This window comes from Homo sapiens, chromosome 2 (genome assembly GCF_000001405.40).
Source record: "Homo sapiens chromosome 2, GRCh38.p14 Primary Assembly".
NCBI classification, from domain to species: Eukaryota; Metazoa; Chordata; class Mammalia; order Primates; family Hominidae; genus Homo; species Homo sapiens.
Genome location: NC_000002.12, coordinates 40,401,644 through 40,420,195, shown reverse-complemented (window position 1 = coordinate 40,420,195; position 18,552 = coordinate 40,401,644). Strand labels below are relative to the sequence as shown.

At 36.6% G+C, this 18,552-nt stretch overlaps 1 protein-coding gene across 23 annotated transcripts in view, besides 1 other annotated feature; it reads left to right on the top strand.

The window, feature by feature from the left end:
* The window catches only part of SLC8A1 (solute carrier family 8 member A1), a 415,166-nt gene that overhangs the window by 92,240 nt on the left and 304,374 nt on the right, over positions 1–18,552 (top strand). The gene's annotated exons all lie outside the window — the stretch shown is intronic.
* Positions 17,973–18,267: an enhancer, noted in NCBI's record as "tiled region #14225; HepG2 Activating non-DNase unmatched - State 24:Quies". NCBI's record gives its function as "activates a minimal TATA promoter and a strong SV40 promoter by Sharpr-MPRA in HepG2 cells {active_cell/tissue: HepG2}" and the evidence as "EXISTENCE:reporter gene assay evidence [ECO:0000049][PMID:27701403]".

Sequence of the window (18,552 nt, the reverse complement as noted above, 5' to 3'; positions counted from 1 at the left end):
GCATGGCAGTTCATCTTATAAAAAACTTAGAATTCCAACCTCCGCAGCACATAGAATTTTTAGATATATTTTTTAAATGCCCAATTCCAAGTCATTCTTATTTCTGAATCCTCTCTGGAGGACAAGAACAAACAAAAAATTCTACCTAAAATCACATGAATGTCCAGTTACATCTTGCATATACTTTATACAAAACCAATGTTCAGGTGTTTCTATAACAAATTTGTTTTCGAACAAGGTGGTTTTATTAAATTTTTTACCTTTTGCCGGCAAATTATTGGTCTATTTGGTGTAAACCTGATAGCAATGTGTTTATAAATATAATTATAACCTTTAAAAGAAGCCTGCAACTGTTAGCTTTCAACAAAGAACATTTGTCTTACACACACACATATACACACAATTATTAAAGGAAAAAGTGGGAACGCAAAATTAAGTCCTATTTGCATAGGGTTTAATTCTTAGGGCGCAATTAAAGAAAAAGAAAAATCCTAATGTTACAAGGATAAGTTTCCTTCTTGCACACTAACCATTACAATCTTGACACAGTTTTGAAAAATGAGCTATTCAGTTCAGTGTGTATATCTGTGTTCCTGGGATTTGTATATCACCTGACAGAGAGAGAAAAAGAGACAGGGGCAAAGATGGAGGGAGGCAGAGAAGGAGGTGGAGGCAGGGTGAGTAAGAAGGAGAGGTAGGCAGAGAAAGAAGGAGGGGGAGAGAAAGGAGACAGACAGAGGGACAGAGACAGAATATACAGCCCTGATTAGATTTCTGCTGTGACTAAAATGAACTGAAGCCTGGAATTAGTCCATACTCTTGCTCACGCAAACAGAAGACAGTATGAGAGTAAGGAAATAGAAATGGGATTCACTCAAGCTGCTTCTTTATTAAAAATAGACAGCAACTTTGTCCTTGAAATCAAGTGTACGTGCCTGAGTGTGTTTGAGAAGCCAGAAGTAGCCGGTGGAATCCAGAAGGGCTGGGCCCTATTCATTGATTCCTGCTTCCAGCAAATATTCTATGAGCATCAATCCCATGCCAAGCCCCTTGCAAGATGCTGTGACAACACTGGTACCTAAGACATAGCCTCTGCCATAGAAAACCTCAAGCTTTACTAGAGGAGATGGATGTACGAATGTTCAGTCCTACAACAGTGTGTATGTTTAGTCACCCCTAAAGCCTCTCTGTGCCTTCTTTGGCCTCCTTCTCTCAGTGCCACCTGATGGGGCTCTTGCCACTGGTGTTTAGGCTGAGAATAAATGATGATGAGCTGTCAGTGTTGCTGTCCACTCTAGGAGCAACCTACCCCCTGTGCCTGCTTTTCCCCAGAAGAAAACTACAGGGCTCTCTCTCCTCTCCTGTCCCCATCCCAGATGGCTCCTGTCACAGTTTGGCTGCCCTCTCTGATGGAGACCAGAAGAGCAGAGATTAGGAACAACTCAAATCTGATTCGTTTTTCATGGCAATAATGAACTCAGAAGAATGTGAAATAGGGAGAGAGTTTTGTCTTCTACTTCGCTTCTTAATGCTGTGCATTACTAGGGGAAGCATGTGTTACTCACACTTGAGTCCTTTCTCTAAATGGTATGAGCTTATTAAGCATGAGCAAATGAGGCTACTACAGACATTGAAAGTACTTAGCCAGGAATCTGATGAGCTGAGGCTCAGTGCTTTTGAGGTCTTAGGCTCAGGTGGCCTAGTACCTCAGAATATCCTGACATGTTGTTGAAGTAGGCCAGACGGATTACTGAGAAAAGACAAAAGATCAGATATGGGAGTCTTTCTGAGCTGTTGTATTATGCAAAGAAGAACCCTTTGTGGGTTGTTTCTGGGATGCTATAAGCTGATATATTCTAGGAAGTAATTTATCTGACCTACACATGGTCTAGTAAAATGGAATAATATTAATATAATGTAATGTAATAAACAGTAAATATGAATATATAAGTGTAGAAGTAAACATAAAACAAATAAAATAATGTAAAGAATATTAAGTCCAGATATTTATCTGACAATATCTAGAGCTAAACTATCTTGCGGTTGTTATTTGTTTGGATAATTTAAGTGTCCTCTATAGGTTTGAATTATTTTAGGGAAGGAACATCTTTCTCAATATTTCATGACTTCTATAGCTATTGTAAACTATATTCTTTTAAATCGACCTGGTTTTGATTATTTGGTTATTAATTCTATGATCAATTCTTATATATGAAGCACTTGAAACATTTTGAAGTAGATCTGGGTCTTTGACCCTAAAGTTTTCCAGCTTACTGTTTTATGACTCTGTGCGTTTACCTTGTGTGTGTGTGTGTGTGTGTGTGTATCCATCCAAGCTATCAGTGTGCCTGACTCCAGCTATCTTCATTTTAAACATATTGCTTCCTAAACATGAACATGGAATAAAAGTGAATGGTAGATGTTCATTGTGGACACTGTGCCATCCAAAGGCCATTTCTGCTGGTAACATAAAGACTAAAGGCCCACGCTTTGGGGCCATACTAGCCTGGGTTTAAATCCTCATTTTATCCCTGTGGCTTAAGCCTGTGGTCTCAGCTACTAAGGAGGCTGAGGTGGGAAGATCACTTGAGCCGGAGAGGTCTAGGTTGCAGTGAGCTGTGATCACACCACTGCACTCCAGCCTGGGTGACAGAGCGAGACCTTGTCTCAGAAAAACAAAAACAAAACAAAAGAAACAAACAAAATTGTCAAATTCTTCAGCAAAACTAATCCTAACACTTGCTTTGAGAGCCAATAAAATGTTGTAATAAATTGAATATTAAGAAACATGTCTTGATTATGTTTTTCTTGTTTGGTTTACAATTCCCAATGATGTCTCCTGGGCCAACCTTCCCAAAGTTGTTGCTCTTCTTTGATATTAGGGAGAGGATCAGAAAAAAAATATCTATTTGGTACTATGCATATTACCTGGGTGACAAAATAATCTGTACACCAAACCCCCATGACATGCAGTTTACCTATATAACAAACCTGCATATGTACCCCAAACCTAAAAGAAAAGTTACATAAAAAAATAAGTAAAAATAACAATTGGTCATACTGAAGACAATCACAAGACTGAGAGATAGGAGAACTCTGCATAATCTTCAAAAAGCAATCAAATATCAATAACCTAAGACATTTTAAAATGCTCCTTTGCAGAGACCTCTGTACTTTGCCTCCTGAGAGAGAGGTTGGTAAATTATCATTTTTATTTTTGGTCCTTTGCTTTTTTATCTACCCTTTTCCAGTGGGAAAATGTGATGCTTAGGGCAAAGCTAGGTTTTGATGAAGTTCTTCCTGATAGGAGGCTTCTATTAGGTTGGTGCAAAAGTAGTTGCTGGTTTTGTTACTACTTTTAAATTAAAACCAGCAGTTACTTTTGCACCAACCTAATAAAATAGAGAATATAATCCAGGAGACAGAATGGAATGCAGAAGGAAACAAGTATTTAGGAGTCAGGAGTTCCAGAACCAACTTGGCTCATTAGGCTACTGGTCTGGTTAGTTGGTCGCTACCTAGACCAGACCAGCAGCTTTGGGTGAGTCATTTCATTTCTCTGAACTTCAGTGTTCTTGATAGTAACATTAAGGCATTGAAGTAAATAATCTATGGGTTTTCTTCCATCTCAAAAATGTTTGCTGTCCTAAGAGAAAGCAAAAATTTTTTTAAAAAATGACATAACACTGAATAAGATTTAGAGTAAAGTGTGAGGAAATGATATTTTTTTGTTTTCTAAATTAGTCTATGCCTTACTTTTTAAAGTAAAGTTATTTGCCAAAAAGAAACATTTTGAAAGACAACAAATATATAAAAATAGCTTAAATCTTTGTTTCTTAGTGAGTCTTGATAAGTTATGAACTTGTAGAATTATATATGTTAAATGGATGATCTACTAAAATGAATTTTGTCAAATTTGTTTTAGTGTCTTATATAAGTTGACCTTCCTGTCACAATGTATTTAGGATAACAATATAACTTATTGTCCAAATCAGAGCACTTTTGTGAGTAAAAGAGGGCACTATTAATAATTATGCAGATACATAATTAAGAAGTATGGCATAGTCAACCTAATTTGAACATCTCTGTGCTTGCTGTCTCAGAAAAGTGGAGAGGTTGCTTTTTTTTTTTTTTTTTTTTTAAAACAGAGCCTCGCTCAATCTGTCACCCAGGCTTAAGTGCAGTGGCGTGATCTCAGCTCCGCCTCCCGGGTTCAAGCAATTCTCCTGCCTCAGCCTCCTAAGTAGCTGGGATTATAGACACCTGCCACCACGCCCAGCTAATGTGTGTGTGTGTGTGTGTGTGTGTGTGTGTGTGTGTGTGTGTGTGTGTGTGTATACTTTTAGTAGAGATGGGGTTTCACCATGTTGGCCACCCTGGTCTTGAACTCCGGACCTCAGGTGTGACCCACCCCTGGTCTCTAACTCTGACCTCAGGTGACCCACCCACCTCGGCCTCCCAAAGTGCTGGGATAACAGGCCACACCTGGTTGAGATTGCTTTTCTTTGGAGACAAGTGGAATAAGAGAGCATTAGTCCTTTGAAATGAAAGACTTTGCATTTGATGTTGCCGTTTGTTTGCTTTACCTACCCACATCCTATCCTTTTTTGTAATACAGCTTGGCTACTAAACATGCCTGCTGGAATGGAGACAGATAGGGGAAAGTAATTAGATTAGTGGCAATGGAAGAAGTAATCCTTTATGCTTAAGCCACAACTCCAGTGGTTTGCTAGTCAAACCACATTGGCAGTTTTCTTTTTTTTTTTTTTCCATATGGATTAGAACAATTGATTTTTCTTCTATGTCTTCAGGAAAATTGTAGTTACAGGTGAAGTAGATCTGTAGGATTGTGAGCAAAGTGTTGCCTCTGCAGCAGTCAAAACCGTTACCAATTATGTCTTTAATTTTTCTTCTTAAATGAGAGACTCTTGGAAGTCCCCTCCAGCTTTAAAAAGCAATTATTCAGCAACATCACCACCTCTCCAGCCCTGAGACTTCCTGACCTTGTCTTACCTTATCTTACTCTTAGACTTGGTTGTTCAAGTCTGGAGAAATAGTTGGTGCACTTCTACTATACTACTATACTGTGCCTTATAGGCTATCCTTATCAGTCTTCTTCATGCATTCCATGAATAGTCCTCAGAGTCCTGTCCTTAAATACGAGTCCATTCCCTTTTACAACAAATTTCTGAGCCATGTATTTCATTCTCTTTGATATCTAGATGACATAAATCTGTCTGTGGCCTTCTTTCCCAATATTGCCAACTGCAAAGAGTTTTCTCTGGTTGATACCTATTGTCTTATAAATATACATCATTGTCTTCTTTATTTAACCAATAGTATTTTTTTCAAGGTGATTTTGTAGGAGTAGAACAATATTGATCTGTAGGCATAAACCAATTTAATTCAAATCAAGTTAGCTATATGTTTCCATAATAAATATATTGACCTATCATAAATGTATGGCAAATTAATCATATTTATTGATTTTAAACAAGAGAAGAGTTATTGAAAAAGTACCTAAGCAATGAATAAACCTCCAAGAGACTAAAACAAGTCCTCATTTAAACATGACTTAATTAAAGAATTTAATATTTTAGTTAAGTGATAGATAATGAAAGATCAATCAAGGCAAGAACATTGAAGAATTTAGCACAAGGAATAATAAATCATGCAAGTACAAGATCAGAATTAAGCTTGAAAACATTAAGTAAAATAATTACTGAGGGCTTTAGTTACCCACACACTCAATGTTACTCAGCAGATGTACAAATAACACTGTGTACTGGTCCCAATGTGCTGGGGACACATCAGACACACTGTCACATTAAAACACACCTTGTTGCTAAGTCTCATGAGGGACCTCATATATGGCTGCAGATGTGTACAGATGTTTGCTTCCCCACGGTCTAGCTGTCTTTGTGGCCAGAATCTCAACAGTTCCCAGAGTTTTGGTCTTAAGATACTGTTTTCCAACAAAATCAACACTGAAAATGAGAGACAGCAAATAATACAATTTCACTCATTAGCTCTGTAATGACTTTGATTCATGTTTCATTTCATAAAATGCTTGAAGAGCATGAGCAACACATTTATATTAGAGAAACCAAGGTATTGACTTTCTGTTTCTAAATTGTTCATGCCATTATGGTGCCATTTAATGTTAGGTTATTCTCTTACATAATTCTTACAAATTTTCTTTTTTAATTAGTATAAAATATGATGCTCAACAAATTAATTTTCTTAACTGTTGGTTGGCAAATCAATCTGTTTTACTACATGCACACCTAGTGAGACGCATCATCATGTGCTTGCAATGGGTCAACCTATAGTTTAAGAAAACATAATGCTTCTTTTTCTATGTATTTATGTTATATTTATCCAAGGATTAGTAAATATAAAAATTTGCCTTATGAACAAAGGAAATTTAAATGAAACTTCTTGGCATGTCTTATACTTCTGTATGCCTTTGAGCTCCCTCTTAAAGACGTTAATTTGTATCATGCTGTGCAGTGATATTATATGTAGTAAGGTCTCAAGCTACAGGACATGAATGTTTTCACTTGCATTTGAAATAAGACTTTCATATAATTTGGAGGGAAAACAAGTATAGGATGTAAAGCAGACCAATGTTATTAACTTCTGAATTCCTCCTTTATTAAGAAAAAAGGGCTCTGCTTATAAAGATTCTTAAATAGATCATTTTAAAAATCAGCAATGGTTTCCAGCTTCATCCATGTCCCTACAAAGGACATGAACTCATCATTTTTTTATGGCTGCATAGTATTCCATGGTGTATATGTGCCACATTTTTTTAATCCAGTCTATCATTGTTGGACATTTGGGTTAGTTCCAAGTCTTTGCTATTGTGAATAGTGCCGCAATAAACATATGTGTGCATGTGTCTTTATAGCAGCATGATTTATAAACCTTTGGGTATATACCCAGTAATGGGATGGCTGGGCCAAATGGTATTTCTAGTTCTAGATCCCTGAGGAATCGCCACACCGACTTCCACAATGGTTGAACTAGTTTACAGTCCCACCAACAGTGTAAAAATGTTCCTATTTCTCCACATCCTCTCCAGCACCTGTTGTTTCCTGACTTTTTAATGATCGCCATTCTAACTGGTGTGAGGTGAGAGGGAGGAGGGGTAGCATTAGGTGATATACCTGATGCTAAATGACAAGTTAATGGGTGCAGCACACCAACATGGCACATGTATACATATGTAACAAACCTGCACGTTGTGCACATGTACCCTAAAACTTAAAGTATAATAAAAAAAAATCAGCAATGATAACCAGAAAAAATACCTAGATTACACTCTAGCATTTCAGAGGATATTTAGATGGAATCAATAATACCAAAAATATCCATCAATAGTTTTCATCCATAGTAAAATGAGGTTGGTGTCTTCCTAGTTGAGCTTATCATGATAATACTCTAAATTATTGTCATGACTGACTCATGCCTTTGCAATTTTAGCAGCTGTGGTTTTGTGGACATAATATTAGCCAGTGAATATAGCAGGAATTTCTGAAGTCAATAACATTACCTGTGCTGTCTTTGATCTATACAGTCAGTAGTGCCTCAGAAGCATGTTCTAGCAAGGAAACAATCTGAATCTCTTTGCTCTTAAGGTAGTGCCTCCATTCCCATGGTCAAGAATCTGTTTCAGTTAAAACCGTATGCCCACTCCAAGGTAGTGTTAAATTTATGGCAATGAATGCTATAACTTGCTAGTTATTTCCAGCTTTTAATCCAGTGCCTAATATACCATAAATGGTTGTAAATATATGATTACAAAATAGATGTAATATCCCTCTATGTAAAACAGCTTTTGTATTCTCGGGAAGGAGAAGTAACACATTCATGAAAACTAGTTATATGTGAGGTAAGCTAAGTACACTTAATACACCATCAGTCCATCTCACCAAAAAGGTTATAACATTTTATAGACATGGTCGCAGTTGCATGAGATCACTTTCTCCTTGACATTAATATATTCTGACATATCGCTAAGCAGCCTGTGTAACATGAAGAGTATAGCAACGCCATGAAGAACATGAGTTCTGGAATCAGACCATTTGGTTCAAGACCCAGGTCAAATATTTATTTGGAAAGTAATATTGGGCTAGTTATTTAATATCTCTCTGCCTGTTTCCACGTATAAAAACAAAGTAAATTTTTCTATATCAATGGTATTTATGAAAAGTAAATTATATAGTATGTACAAAAAGGTTAGAACTATGCCTGACACATGCTAAAAATTCAATTTTGACTGTTGAGTTATTGATTATAAAATAACTTAGATGTCTGTATAAAAACAGGATACCCAATATAAGAAATTTTTAAAAGACAAGGAGAAAATTGTAATTTCACAAACCAGAGATGGCTACTTTTTACATTTTAGTGTGTACAGGTATAATCTTTGTTTTACTCTTGCTTTTTTGTGAAGGTTTGCGTTAGAAGTTTTCATTATATGAATAAAATTCTTTAAAGTCTTAATATCTAAGTATTATTTCATTAAATGAATACAATTTATTTAATGAGGCCCCTATTGTTTGTTTTTGTTTTGACATTGTTTTTGTTTTTTCAGGTTTTTTTAAAGACAACGTTTATACATAAATAATATCATAGTAAACATTTTTGAGAAAGCAAAAAAATCATGGCTCACATTTTAGATTAGTTCTTTAGGCTAAATTCTCAAATTGGAATAAATAGACCAAAATTTATAGACATGGTAAGGCTTATAATAACTTTCACAAAGCTATTTTAAGAGAATCTGCCTGAATTTACATTCCTAATGGGCATGTGTAATTTTCTGATGAGACTGGTTGTTAGAAAACCTTACCAGTGCTTATATATGGAAGTACTTTAAGGGTTTTTGCTAATATTTGCTGAGTGTATGCTGTGTGCAAAGTGTTATGCTAGCTATTATTAACTTTAAATCAGTTACCTTTGAAATGTGCGTAGATTTGAATAGTAACTATTAGTGTTCAAAACTCTTCTTAAAATGCCCTTTGAAATTATCTTCAGAGCCATAGATAATACCTGTTTTTCAAAGTTCCTAATGGCATTATCTTACCTAATCATTTATTTCGTATGAAAGTCTTAGTGCCATACAACTTTAGGCTGGCCCCAAAATCAAATCCAATCTAAAAAAACTTAATTATTTTTCAAAATCATTTATCAAGCCTGCAGCTGTATTGCAGTACTATAGAAAGGGCACATTCTTGGGGTCAAAAAATCCCATTTTGAATCCCATTTGCTGGTATTATGTGCATGGCTAATTTAGTTATATACTCCTGAACTTAGTTTTCTTTTCTGATAAATGGCAAAAATAATTCTCAAAGTGCTATGGTAAGTATCACAAGATAAGGTATGTGAAAATGCTTTTTTAATAAGAAAATGACATGCAATGTATTATCAGATTTTGAAGATAACTTATAGGTGAGCTCACAGAGTGGGAAGATATGTTTAAATAGCATGTCACCACAAAAAATGATAACTGTGAAGTAATGCATACGTTAATTAGCTGGATTTAACTATAGTGTACATATACTTCAAAATATCATGTTATACATGTAAAACATTTTTTCTAATTTTTAAAAAATAAAAGAATACATTTTAAAAATAATTATAATTACTATATTTTCATCATAGGAAAATCTCACAATTTTGTTTTTCCCCGGAAATATTTGCAAATAGATTATCTCTAAAGTTTTCTTCTTTCCTGTAGTACTCATATACATTAAACTATAGATAGAATATATGGGCTTCTTTTACCAGTCACTATCTGGAAAGCTTTTAATGAAAATCAAATGAAATTATTTTCAATGTGATCCCTAGCGCTGGATGTTATTTTCCTCCTAATTTGGCCAGTAACAGGTCATATTGAAAGATTTTGCTGGTATTTCTGGTAAGTCAGGATAATTTATTGTTCTGATGGCCTGATTTTTTTCATTACATCCTTTCATTGCCCTCGGAGGGGTACTATAATAATCGAACAACCCATTTCCAAGATTTATTGTCTAAAACTTCAAAGAGTCATGTGTTCTATCCCTTGCCCCATGATTTATTAAAAAGTTAAAACATAAAGTTTTTATTTCATGTTTTCTTTAGTATTTGCTTCCAGAAGTTGCCCCCTTTTTTCCCTGTATTCCTTCTCCCCTCCCCCTTTTTTTCCCTTCTCACTCTTAGTCCGTGGTTGCTCCTATTCACTAGGTTATTTTAAACTCGCTCACAGAACTCCAGTTTTGTTGGGGCAGGGATGCCAGATATGCAGTAGCACCACTGATAAGTTTTCAGATTAATTGGTTGGTTGGCAGACAGTAATGAAATTGAAGGCAAAGCAGGATCAAGGGGACCACACATGAATGACTACATTCTCACTGCCTTTTCTGTGTTTTAGATGGATAATGGTGGATGATGTGGCACTGGAATGCATAAATCCCACTATATTTTGAGCAAGATGATTTCTACTGTAATCAACTCCAAAACCTTGAGCATGCTATTGCTCTTATTCCTTTCCACTCTCCAGCCTCATTATATGCCACCACCTCCAACACTTTTTCTATTCAGCAAGCTATACAGTAGATGCAGTTTGGGCTGTAAGAATTAGAGTATTCTCAAGGAATGACTGCATACCTGCTCTTGATAAATGGAAGCTCTGATGTGGTGTTATGTGTGAATGTTTCTGATTATTTGTGAATTTAAGAATCTTTGGGGGTTCAAATTTATTTCTGTCCAGAAGCTTGCTCTGGACAATTGTAAAGTAGGAAGTTTTTGACAAAGAGCCTAAGAATCCATTATCTTTTGGCCATAATGCAGGGCAGAAATCCTGATTTTTCTCTTTACTCCAACTATATTCCTGAAGCCTGAATGTACAGATTTGTTTTTTCCCGTAGGAAAAAAATTAGAATATACCCTAGTAACAAAATATGATTGGGAACTTACAGGGGTATTTTAGTCAACTAATAGGTTCTTTTACATGAATACCAGAAGCTGTACCGATGTGACTATTGCAGGGAAATTTGTTCTGAGAAAAGGACCTTGTATTCTTGTCTCATTGTCTCAAAATGTAAATGACTACAGAAAAAGCAGCACTTTACAGGTCTGTCTTGAATTGGTATATTTGTAATGTCAAAAACAATATTTACATATAATCATTGACTACTGTTTAAAACGCTGTATAGTTACAACTTTTTTCATTCCTATGTAGTTACAGTTACCGAGAAAATTTTGTTTTTTTCTCTTATCTTTCTTTTGTTCCATTTTTCTATGGTTCTTATGGCTATATTTTTTTTCTATTTCAGTGTCTTTGGATTCAATACTTAAGTTGAAATGTGCTCAAATGCTCTATCTTTCAGCATAACAGAATTAGTCAAGTGCAAGGGATAATAAATTTGTATGACTAAATCTTGACCATACTCGTGAGTTTTAAATATCTAACTGGTGCCCCTTCGAAATACAGGTCTTTCGTGCTGTTTTACCACTGTTGTGTGTGTGAAGGCATGCTTCTCTGTGTAGAAACTTGTTCATTAGAAGCTGTTATTGTAGTTTCAATTCCCACAGTTGGGCCACCTACTTGTTACTCTCTTATTTTTCCAAAGCTGTCCTAATTGCTGTCTCCCTTCACCCAGATTCAAGCAGTTGAATTATGTTTTACTGTGTCCCTTGTGTAAAAGGAATGTCCAAAGTGCCAAAATTTCCTGTGGTTTTAGGAGGAGAATGGAGAAAATGAAACAGGAGAGAATCTCTTCACTTAGTGCTTCCAAATTGGCCTTTGTTTGTGTGAATCTGCAGAGGTGTGCTGCAGTGAGGATATCCACAGTCTAAGCTAATTTATCAAACTGTTGATAAGTTAAGCCTGGGAGGATTATTTGAGTAACTGTGTATCTCACAGAGAACAACATAAAGACTTTTGAAGGTATAAGTTTAGATCAGGCGTATCTGGTTCAATTCCGAAGAAACTTTTGGCATAAAAATGTATTGAACTATATTTGATGCCCCAAACTACATTAGGAGTTGTGTGATAGGGAAGAAAGGGTAGAAAAGAAACTAGAGATTGTAGAAGAATATATAGGGCTGTTTCTGTGGCTAAACTGACATTCTGGCATGCTGGAAGATTATTAACTTGTTATGGGGGTAACATATTTGTGACTTTATCACTTATGGGATATGCTCTGTGATGCCTAACACGGTTATATGTGTGTCCCTGCATTTGTGAGTGAATAAATGCAAACTGGTTAGTAGTTACAGTCACCAGTGAAGATCCACAGGATAGAAAAGTCACCTCAGAAGAGACTGAACAGGAGGCTGGCTCCTTGTAAAGAGAGTTGGCCAGAAAAGCAAATGCAACTCCTCTTGACCATCTCCTTTACCTGAAGGGTCCTTCCAAGAAAAGGTTAGGAAGGTCAAGTATTTAAAATATATTCACTGAATATTCACAAAGTGCCAGGAAGTTGGGGACATAAGGGTAAACAAGATAGAGGATGTCTTTTTGGAAAGAAATTGACAGTTTATGCAGCACAGCAATCAAAATGCAGTGCACCAAGAGCTGTGGGAGCTCCAATATAGAGCTGTGATATTCTTTCAGGACAGAGGACCTGTTGGTGTGGAAGGAAAGGCTGTTCACTGAGGTGGAGGATTAAAAATTCATAAAATGAAAATGGAAAAATGGACACAGGCAAAAGGCAGGAAGACAGAAAACTACCAATAAAAAAGAAACCACTGACGTTTGAAGAAGTGAAGGAAGTATAGATAGCATCTAATAAATCATCTCATTTTTACAGACAAGGAACCAGTCCATGAGGAATCTGGTGGGTCAGGTGTGGTGGCTTATGCCTGTAGTCCCAGCACTGTGGGAGGCCGAGGCGGGCAGATCACTGGAGGTCAGGAGTTCCAGACCAGCCTGGCCAACATGGTGAAACCCTGTCTCTACTAAAAATAGAAAAATTAGCCATGCCCGGTGGTGGGCACCTGTAATCCCAGATACTCAGGAGGCTGAGCAGGAGAATCTGTTGAACCTAGGAGGCAGAGGTTGCAGTGAGCTGGGATCGCACCACTGTACTCCAGCCTGGATGACAGAGTGAGACTCCCTCTCACACACACCCACACACAAATCTGCTGAGTGACATACTAAGATCACACAGTTAGAAAGGGGCAGATCTGGGCCTAGAACCTGGTAAGCCTAGTCCTCAGTCCACTCTTTGCATTGTCATCATGAAGTAAAAAAAACTGTGGAGAAGGAATTGAGAACACAACACAGAGGATTGCCTTGTTACTGTGCTATGTATATGCATGTGACGTAGATAGGGGGAATGCATATCATATACGGTTTCAATCCAAAGTGGCAAGTTTGAGAAGTTAGGTCCCTCTGCAGATGTCTCTGAGCATTGCTTTTACGTGAAACAAATGGGGTGAGCTGACAATGGTTAGATTGTAGGCTTAGATCGAAATGCAGGACCATGTTGCTTCCTCCATGGCTGACCTCTCAGCACTGCACACACAGCCTTGAGTAACAGAGGGCCTTGGGTTCCCACAGCTCTGCCACACTGATCTTATCAGTCCACCTGGGAAGATATTCCCCTCTTCTAGCTTACTAATATACCGTCTGCCCTTAGCCTTCACCTTAGATCGTGTGATGGCCCATTTTCCTACCCTCACTTGTCTGATAGTGAAAAGCTGCAGACTTTGATAGCTCAATAACCCATTTAGAAGTTTTGAAATTTTCTGACGTTTATTTATTATACATCCATTATACAATAAATAAGTAATCATGTTTATTATATATTTAATAATAGAACTATTAAAATGGCCTGGGGAATCTTCTAGCATCTTGGAAAAATAACTCTGCATTCATGAAGAATTACAAAGTCTAGGAATCCACAAAGCTCCAAGAACAGTGATACATTCTATTATTTTTACACTGCCTAACAAAAAGAAAATGTTCTATAGGGAGATCATATTTTGCATAATCTTTGGCATATATGTTTAAATTTTTGAGAAAATGCGGAATTTAAAACGCGGAGCCTGTGTCCATGTGCATTTGAATGTGTGTATATTTTATAAAGGTGACTGACAACAAATGAATCCAATATTAACTGCATTTTTCCACTAGTGGAAACAATTTGGGAGTTCAGTGCTATAGAAAGAGGATGTTGTATGTATAGAATACAGTGATGGAAGACATATTACATAAAATGATTTTGTGAAGATTATAGTAGTCTTTGAAGATTCAGCTAACAGATTTTTCAAAGTCATGCTAATCATTTTCAAAACAGCAAATTTATGGAAATGTAAGTTAGATTTCAGTTAGTTACTAACCTGATTTCAGGTCAAAGCTTATTCATACCATCAGAATAATTTACAGCTGGAGTGTTGCATGGATTGCCCGGAATAGGAGGACAAGGGAAGAAAGAATAGCCAAGGAAAAAAATAAGGCACCTGTTAGCTCAAGCATAAACACTGGAACTCATTAAAATCATTAAAGACTGAGTCAGTTGAAGAATTACCTCATTTTTCCCATTCTAACATTTCTAAAAAAGAAACACACACAAACCAACCATAAACCACCATGCAAGTAAGTGCTGGAATGCAAAAGTAAAAATGTGAAGTGCATTGTCTTTGTTAGAAATTGGAAAATGAATTGTGGCATGGGATCTCCCAAGAATTCTAGTTAGTCGGATGTGCTGGAAAAGCGGACAACTGTTAGATCATGACACATCCATTGTATTTTAAAGGCAAGCTCTTTTAAAATACCATATTTGAGGTATGGAAACATTCATGCACTTTTCTTGAGCACTATATATTTAAGACCTTCCTTGGATTTGATCCATAATGTTTCCCATATTTATTTAAATTTTTCTTGCAGAAATTGCTTTAGCAATTGTAGGTGTATGTCTCCTTCTAACTCTAAGCCACTATTCTTGCCCTAGCATCTTCTCCACTCGGTAATAAGAATGGGATTCATTTATGTTCTGAAATTTGGCACTCTGTCCAGTAATTGGGGTATTTCTTATGGGAATTAAGAAGTATGTTCCCCTGACACTTTTCCCCTTCTGCCTTGTGAGGACTGCTTCATTTACATCATTGTCTCCAATCCTCTGTTGAAATGAATTACATCCTATGGGGCTGGGGAGGGGGAGTAGCATGGACCTGCTCAGTGGTTCAGTAAATTACAGAATTTTCGTGGGATTATAAATCCACTTCTGGATACAAGTATTTGACAAATAGAAATAATTGCTATTACCCACAAGCTTTCATGGGCTTTGAAAAGAAAGGAAAATTAGTCTTTGTCAATTGCTTGTATGTAGCTTGTCTATAAAACAAAAAAATCACTGTGGCACCCTACTTTTCAGCATTCATTTGAACAGCAATGGGGGCCTTTTTGGACAGCCTGTTTAACTGCTCAACAACTAGCTTTCTGGTTAATTATGCATTTCAAGCTAGGAAGCAACGCACTCGTGCCAACTTGAAACTGCCGAAATGCTCTAGTTTTACTTTCAGATCATGAAAATGCGAGAAATGGCACCCTAAGTCAGACCAATGGTCTTTAGAGCCCATATTCTCTCTCTTAATAAATACAGCACATGGAAGACCAGTGAGAAAATGATGATTCATTAGTTTAATTAAATATTTCTTGGATTTCTTTCCTCAACATGCACAAACTCTTGGGATATTGAATTTTACATATTTGATAGCTGTTGCATAAAACCATATATTTAAATGTGTTCTTTTCAAATTACCATATCTATTGCAAAAAATGTATTGTCATAATTACTGAAGGCATCAGCAAAATTGTTGCATTACAGAGGAAATGTAGAATGGTTCTTAGTGTTTGCAACTGAGAATAAAAATGTTAATAGTCCAAAGTTTGACCATCATAGGCATACACAACTAAAGAAAAAAAGATATGTTGTCAGATTTGTGTACAAAGAAGCCTTTCTTCCATTAAAGTTGGACAAGTGTAAAAGCTATAGAGAATTATGCTAGGCTGGGTGCAGTGGCTGAAGCCTGTAATCCTCAGTACTTTGGAGGCTGAGGTAGAGGATCACTTGAGCCCAGAATCTCAAAACCAACCTGGTCAACATAGTGAGACCATATGTCTTAAAAAAAAATGCTGAAATTCATGGATTTGCTTTATCTTGATAGTCTAAGGTTAATATTCTCTATTAGATACCAGTGTATCTGCAAATCCATGATAAACCTAAGTTAATGAAAAGTTACATTTTGAAATAATCAAATGAAATAGTGACAACTAATATTCAGAAAAAAAGCTTTTTACTTATTTCCTTTAGGGTACATATGGCACTGTCAGGAGTTTATTTTTGCTTCATAGCTGTATTTTTGTGCTCTTGCCTTCGGAGACAATGCTATTATTATTCATTATTAGTTACACATATTTTGGATGCCAAAATGCTTTCTATGAATAGGTTCTGTACCTTATGAATCTTGCACAATAAATGTTCTTCAGCTAGTCTAAAGCTCATGTTGAAATTCAAGTTAGCTGAGTATTAATAGAGGAATGACAGAGGGAAGAAATTATAACTGCAAGGTCTTCCAGACTACTGACAAGGCTGCCTGGAATATTTAATGAGTCAGATGGTCCATGACTTGACTGTTTCAGAATTATAGGGTTCTACTGAATTTACTCCTGCAGGGAAAGTGTGGGCAAATACCTAAGCTCTCCCATTGTGGTCAGTAGTGTCTTTTTTGGTACGCATAAAGACATTAGCTCCTGTTGTGTAGAAAGAGGGTGGCGGATGGGGAATGGGGAATAGAGGCTGGGACTCTTGAAACAGGAGCCATTGAGAAAGCTCCCTGGATTGTTTACATTGATAACCTGCTAACCATGAAACGAGAGCATTTCCTCCTTAAGTAATTAAGAGTTTATTTCTTCTTAATGCCTGGGTTTAATGGGAGAATTTTTGCTTTGCAAAAGGTTTGCTTTTGAATAAGGTGAATTGACATGCTGTACTGAATAATGCCAAATTGCTTGGTATTTTTAAGCTTGCCTTTTTAATGTTTCATATTCAATGAGGATTAACTTTAAATACCAATTTAATCTAAATTTAAATTCCAAAATTGTTTCATGTGGTGTTCGTTATGTGTATTGTGCATATAGCCTACATCTTATACATTTGAGTGTCATTTGTATGTAAGTGTCATTATGGAAGGCACAAATGTCTAATTAGGGGAAAAATTTGTGGCTTTAATTTTCGTTAACTGTGGATCAGCTCTGGAACAGTAAGTCACAAATAAAAAATCAAATGGCACAATTGTGTTGGTAGCTAATAGCAATGACTTTCATCTGAGAGAGACAGTTTACTGAGCACAAAGTTAAAGGAGTAGGTGATGATGGTCTAGTCAAGTTGAGTAGTTGAATGATGACTACAGACACTTGCAAGCTTTCCTTTTACTTTCCTGTGATGGAAAACAAGATTGGGTGGAAACTCTGCAGAAAGACGTGGTGAAGAGTTTTTCTTTTGCACTGGAAAAGATGATGGCCATAATTAGGGAAAATGTGGCGATTAATCCAGGCCATGACAGAAAATCAAAGGAAATTTGAAGTTCTGTTTATCACCTATGTTTCAATCAATAAAAGCCTACAGTTGTGTTACTGGAAAGGGGTCCTAATCCAGACCCCAAGAGAGGGTTCTTGGACCTTGTGCAAGAAAGAATTCGGGGCAAATACATAAAGTGAAAGCAAGTTTATTAAGAAAGTAAAGGAATAAAAGAATGGCTACTCTCTACTCAGAGCAGCAGCATGGGCTGCTCAACTGATTATACTTACAGTTACTTCTTAATCATATGCCAAGGGGTGAATTATTCCTGAGTTTTTGGCAAAGGGGTGGGCAATTCTTGGAACTGAGGGTTCTCCCTGTTTAGACCATACATGTTAACTTCCTGATGTTGCCATGGCATTTGTAAACTGTCATGGTGCTGGTGGGAGTGTCTTTTAGCATGCCAATACATTATAATTAGCATATAATCAGCAGTGAGGAAGACCAGAAGTCACTTTCGCCACCATCTTGGTTTTGGTGGGTTTTGACCAGCTTCTTTACCACATCCTTTCACCAGCAAGGCCTTTGACCTGTATCGCGTCCTGTGACTAAGAATGCCTCACCACTTGAGAATGCAGCTCTGTAGGTCTCAGCCTTACTTTACCCAGCCCTTATTCATGGATGGAGTTGCTCTGCTTCAAATGCCTCTGACAATTATACACTTAAAGTTAGAAAATTAGATATGGGGCAATCTGTATATGTATTTTTTAGTACCCAATTACAGTTTTTTATGTGTACTAACTTCTGTACTTAGACACATGACCCATAAAGTCAAGAAAGAATCATTAAGAGCCTTTACTCATTTTAATGAATTAACCTCATAACCACACACCCAAAATGTAAGATCAATATATAAAAGTAAGTATAGATAGTTCCCCATAAACTTGGGATATAGTATTCAGTTAGCAAAATCTTACACTAAATGTAAATAGAATCTGCTTTGGTTTCATGACTTTGGGGAACTTTTTTTTTTTTTTCA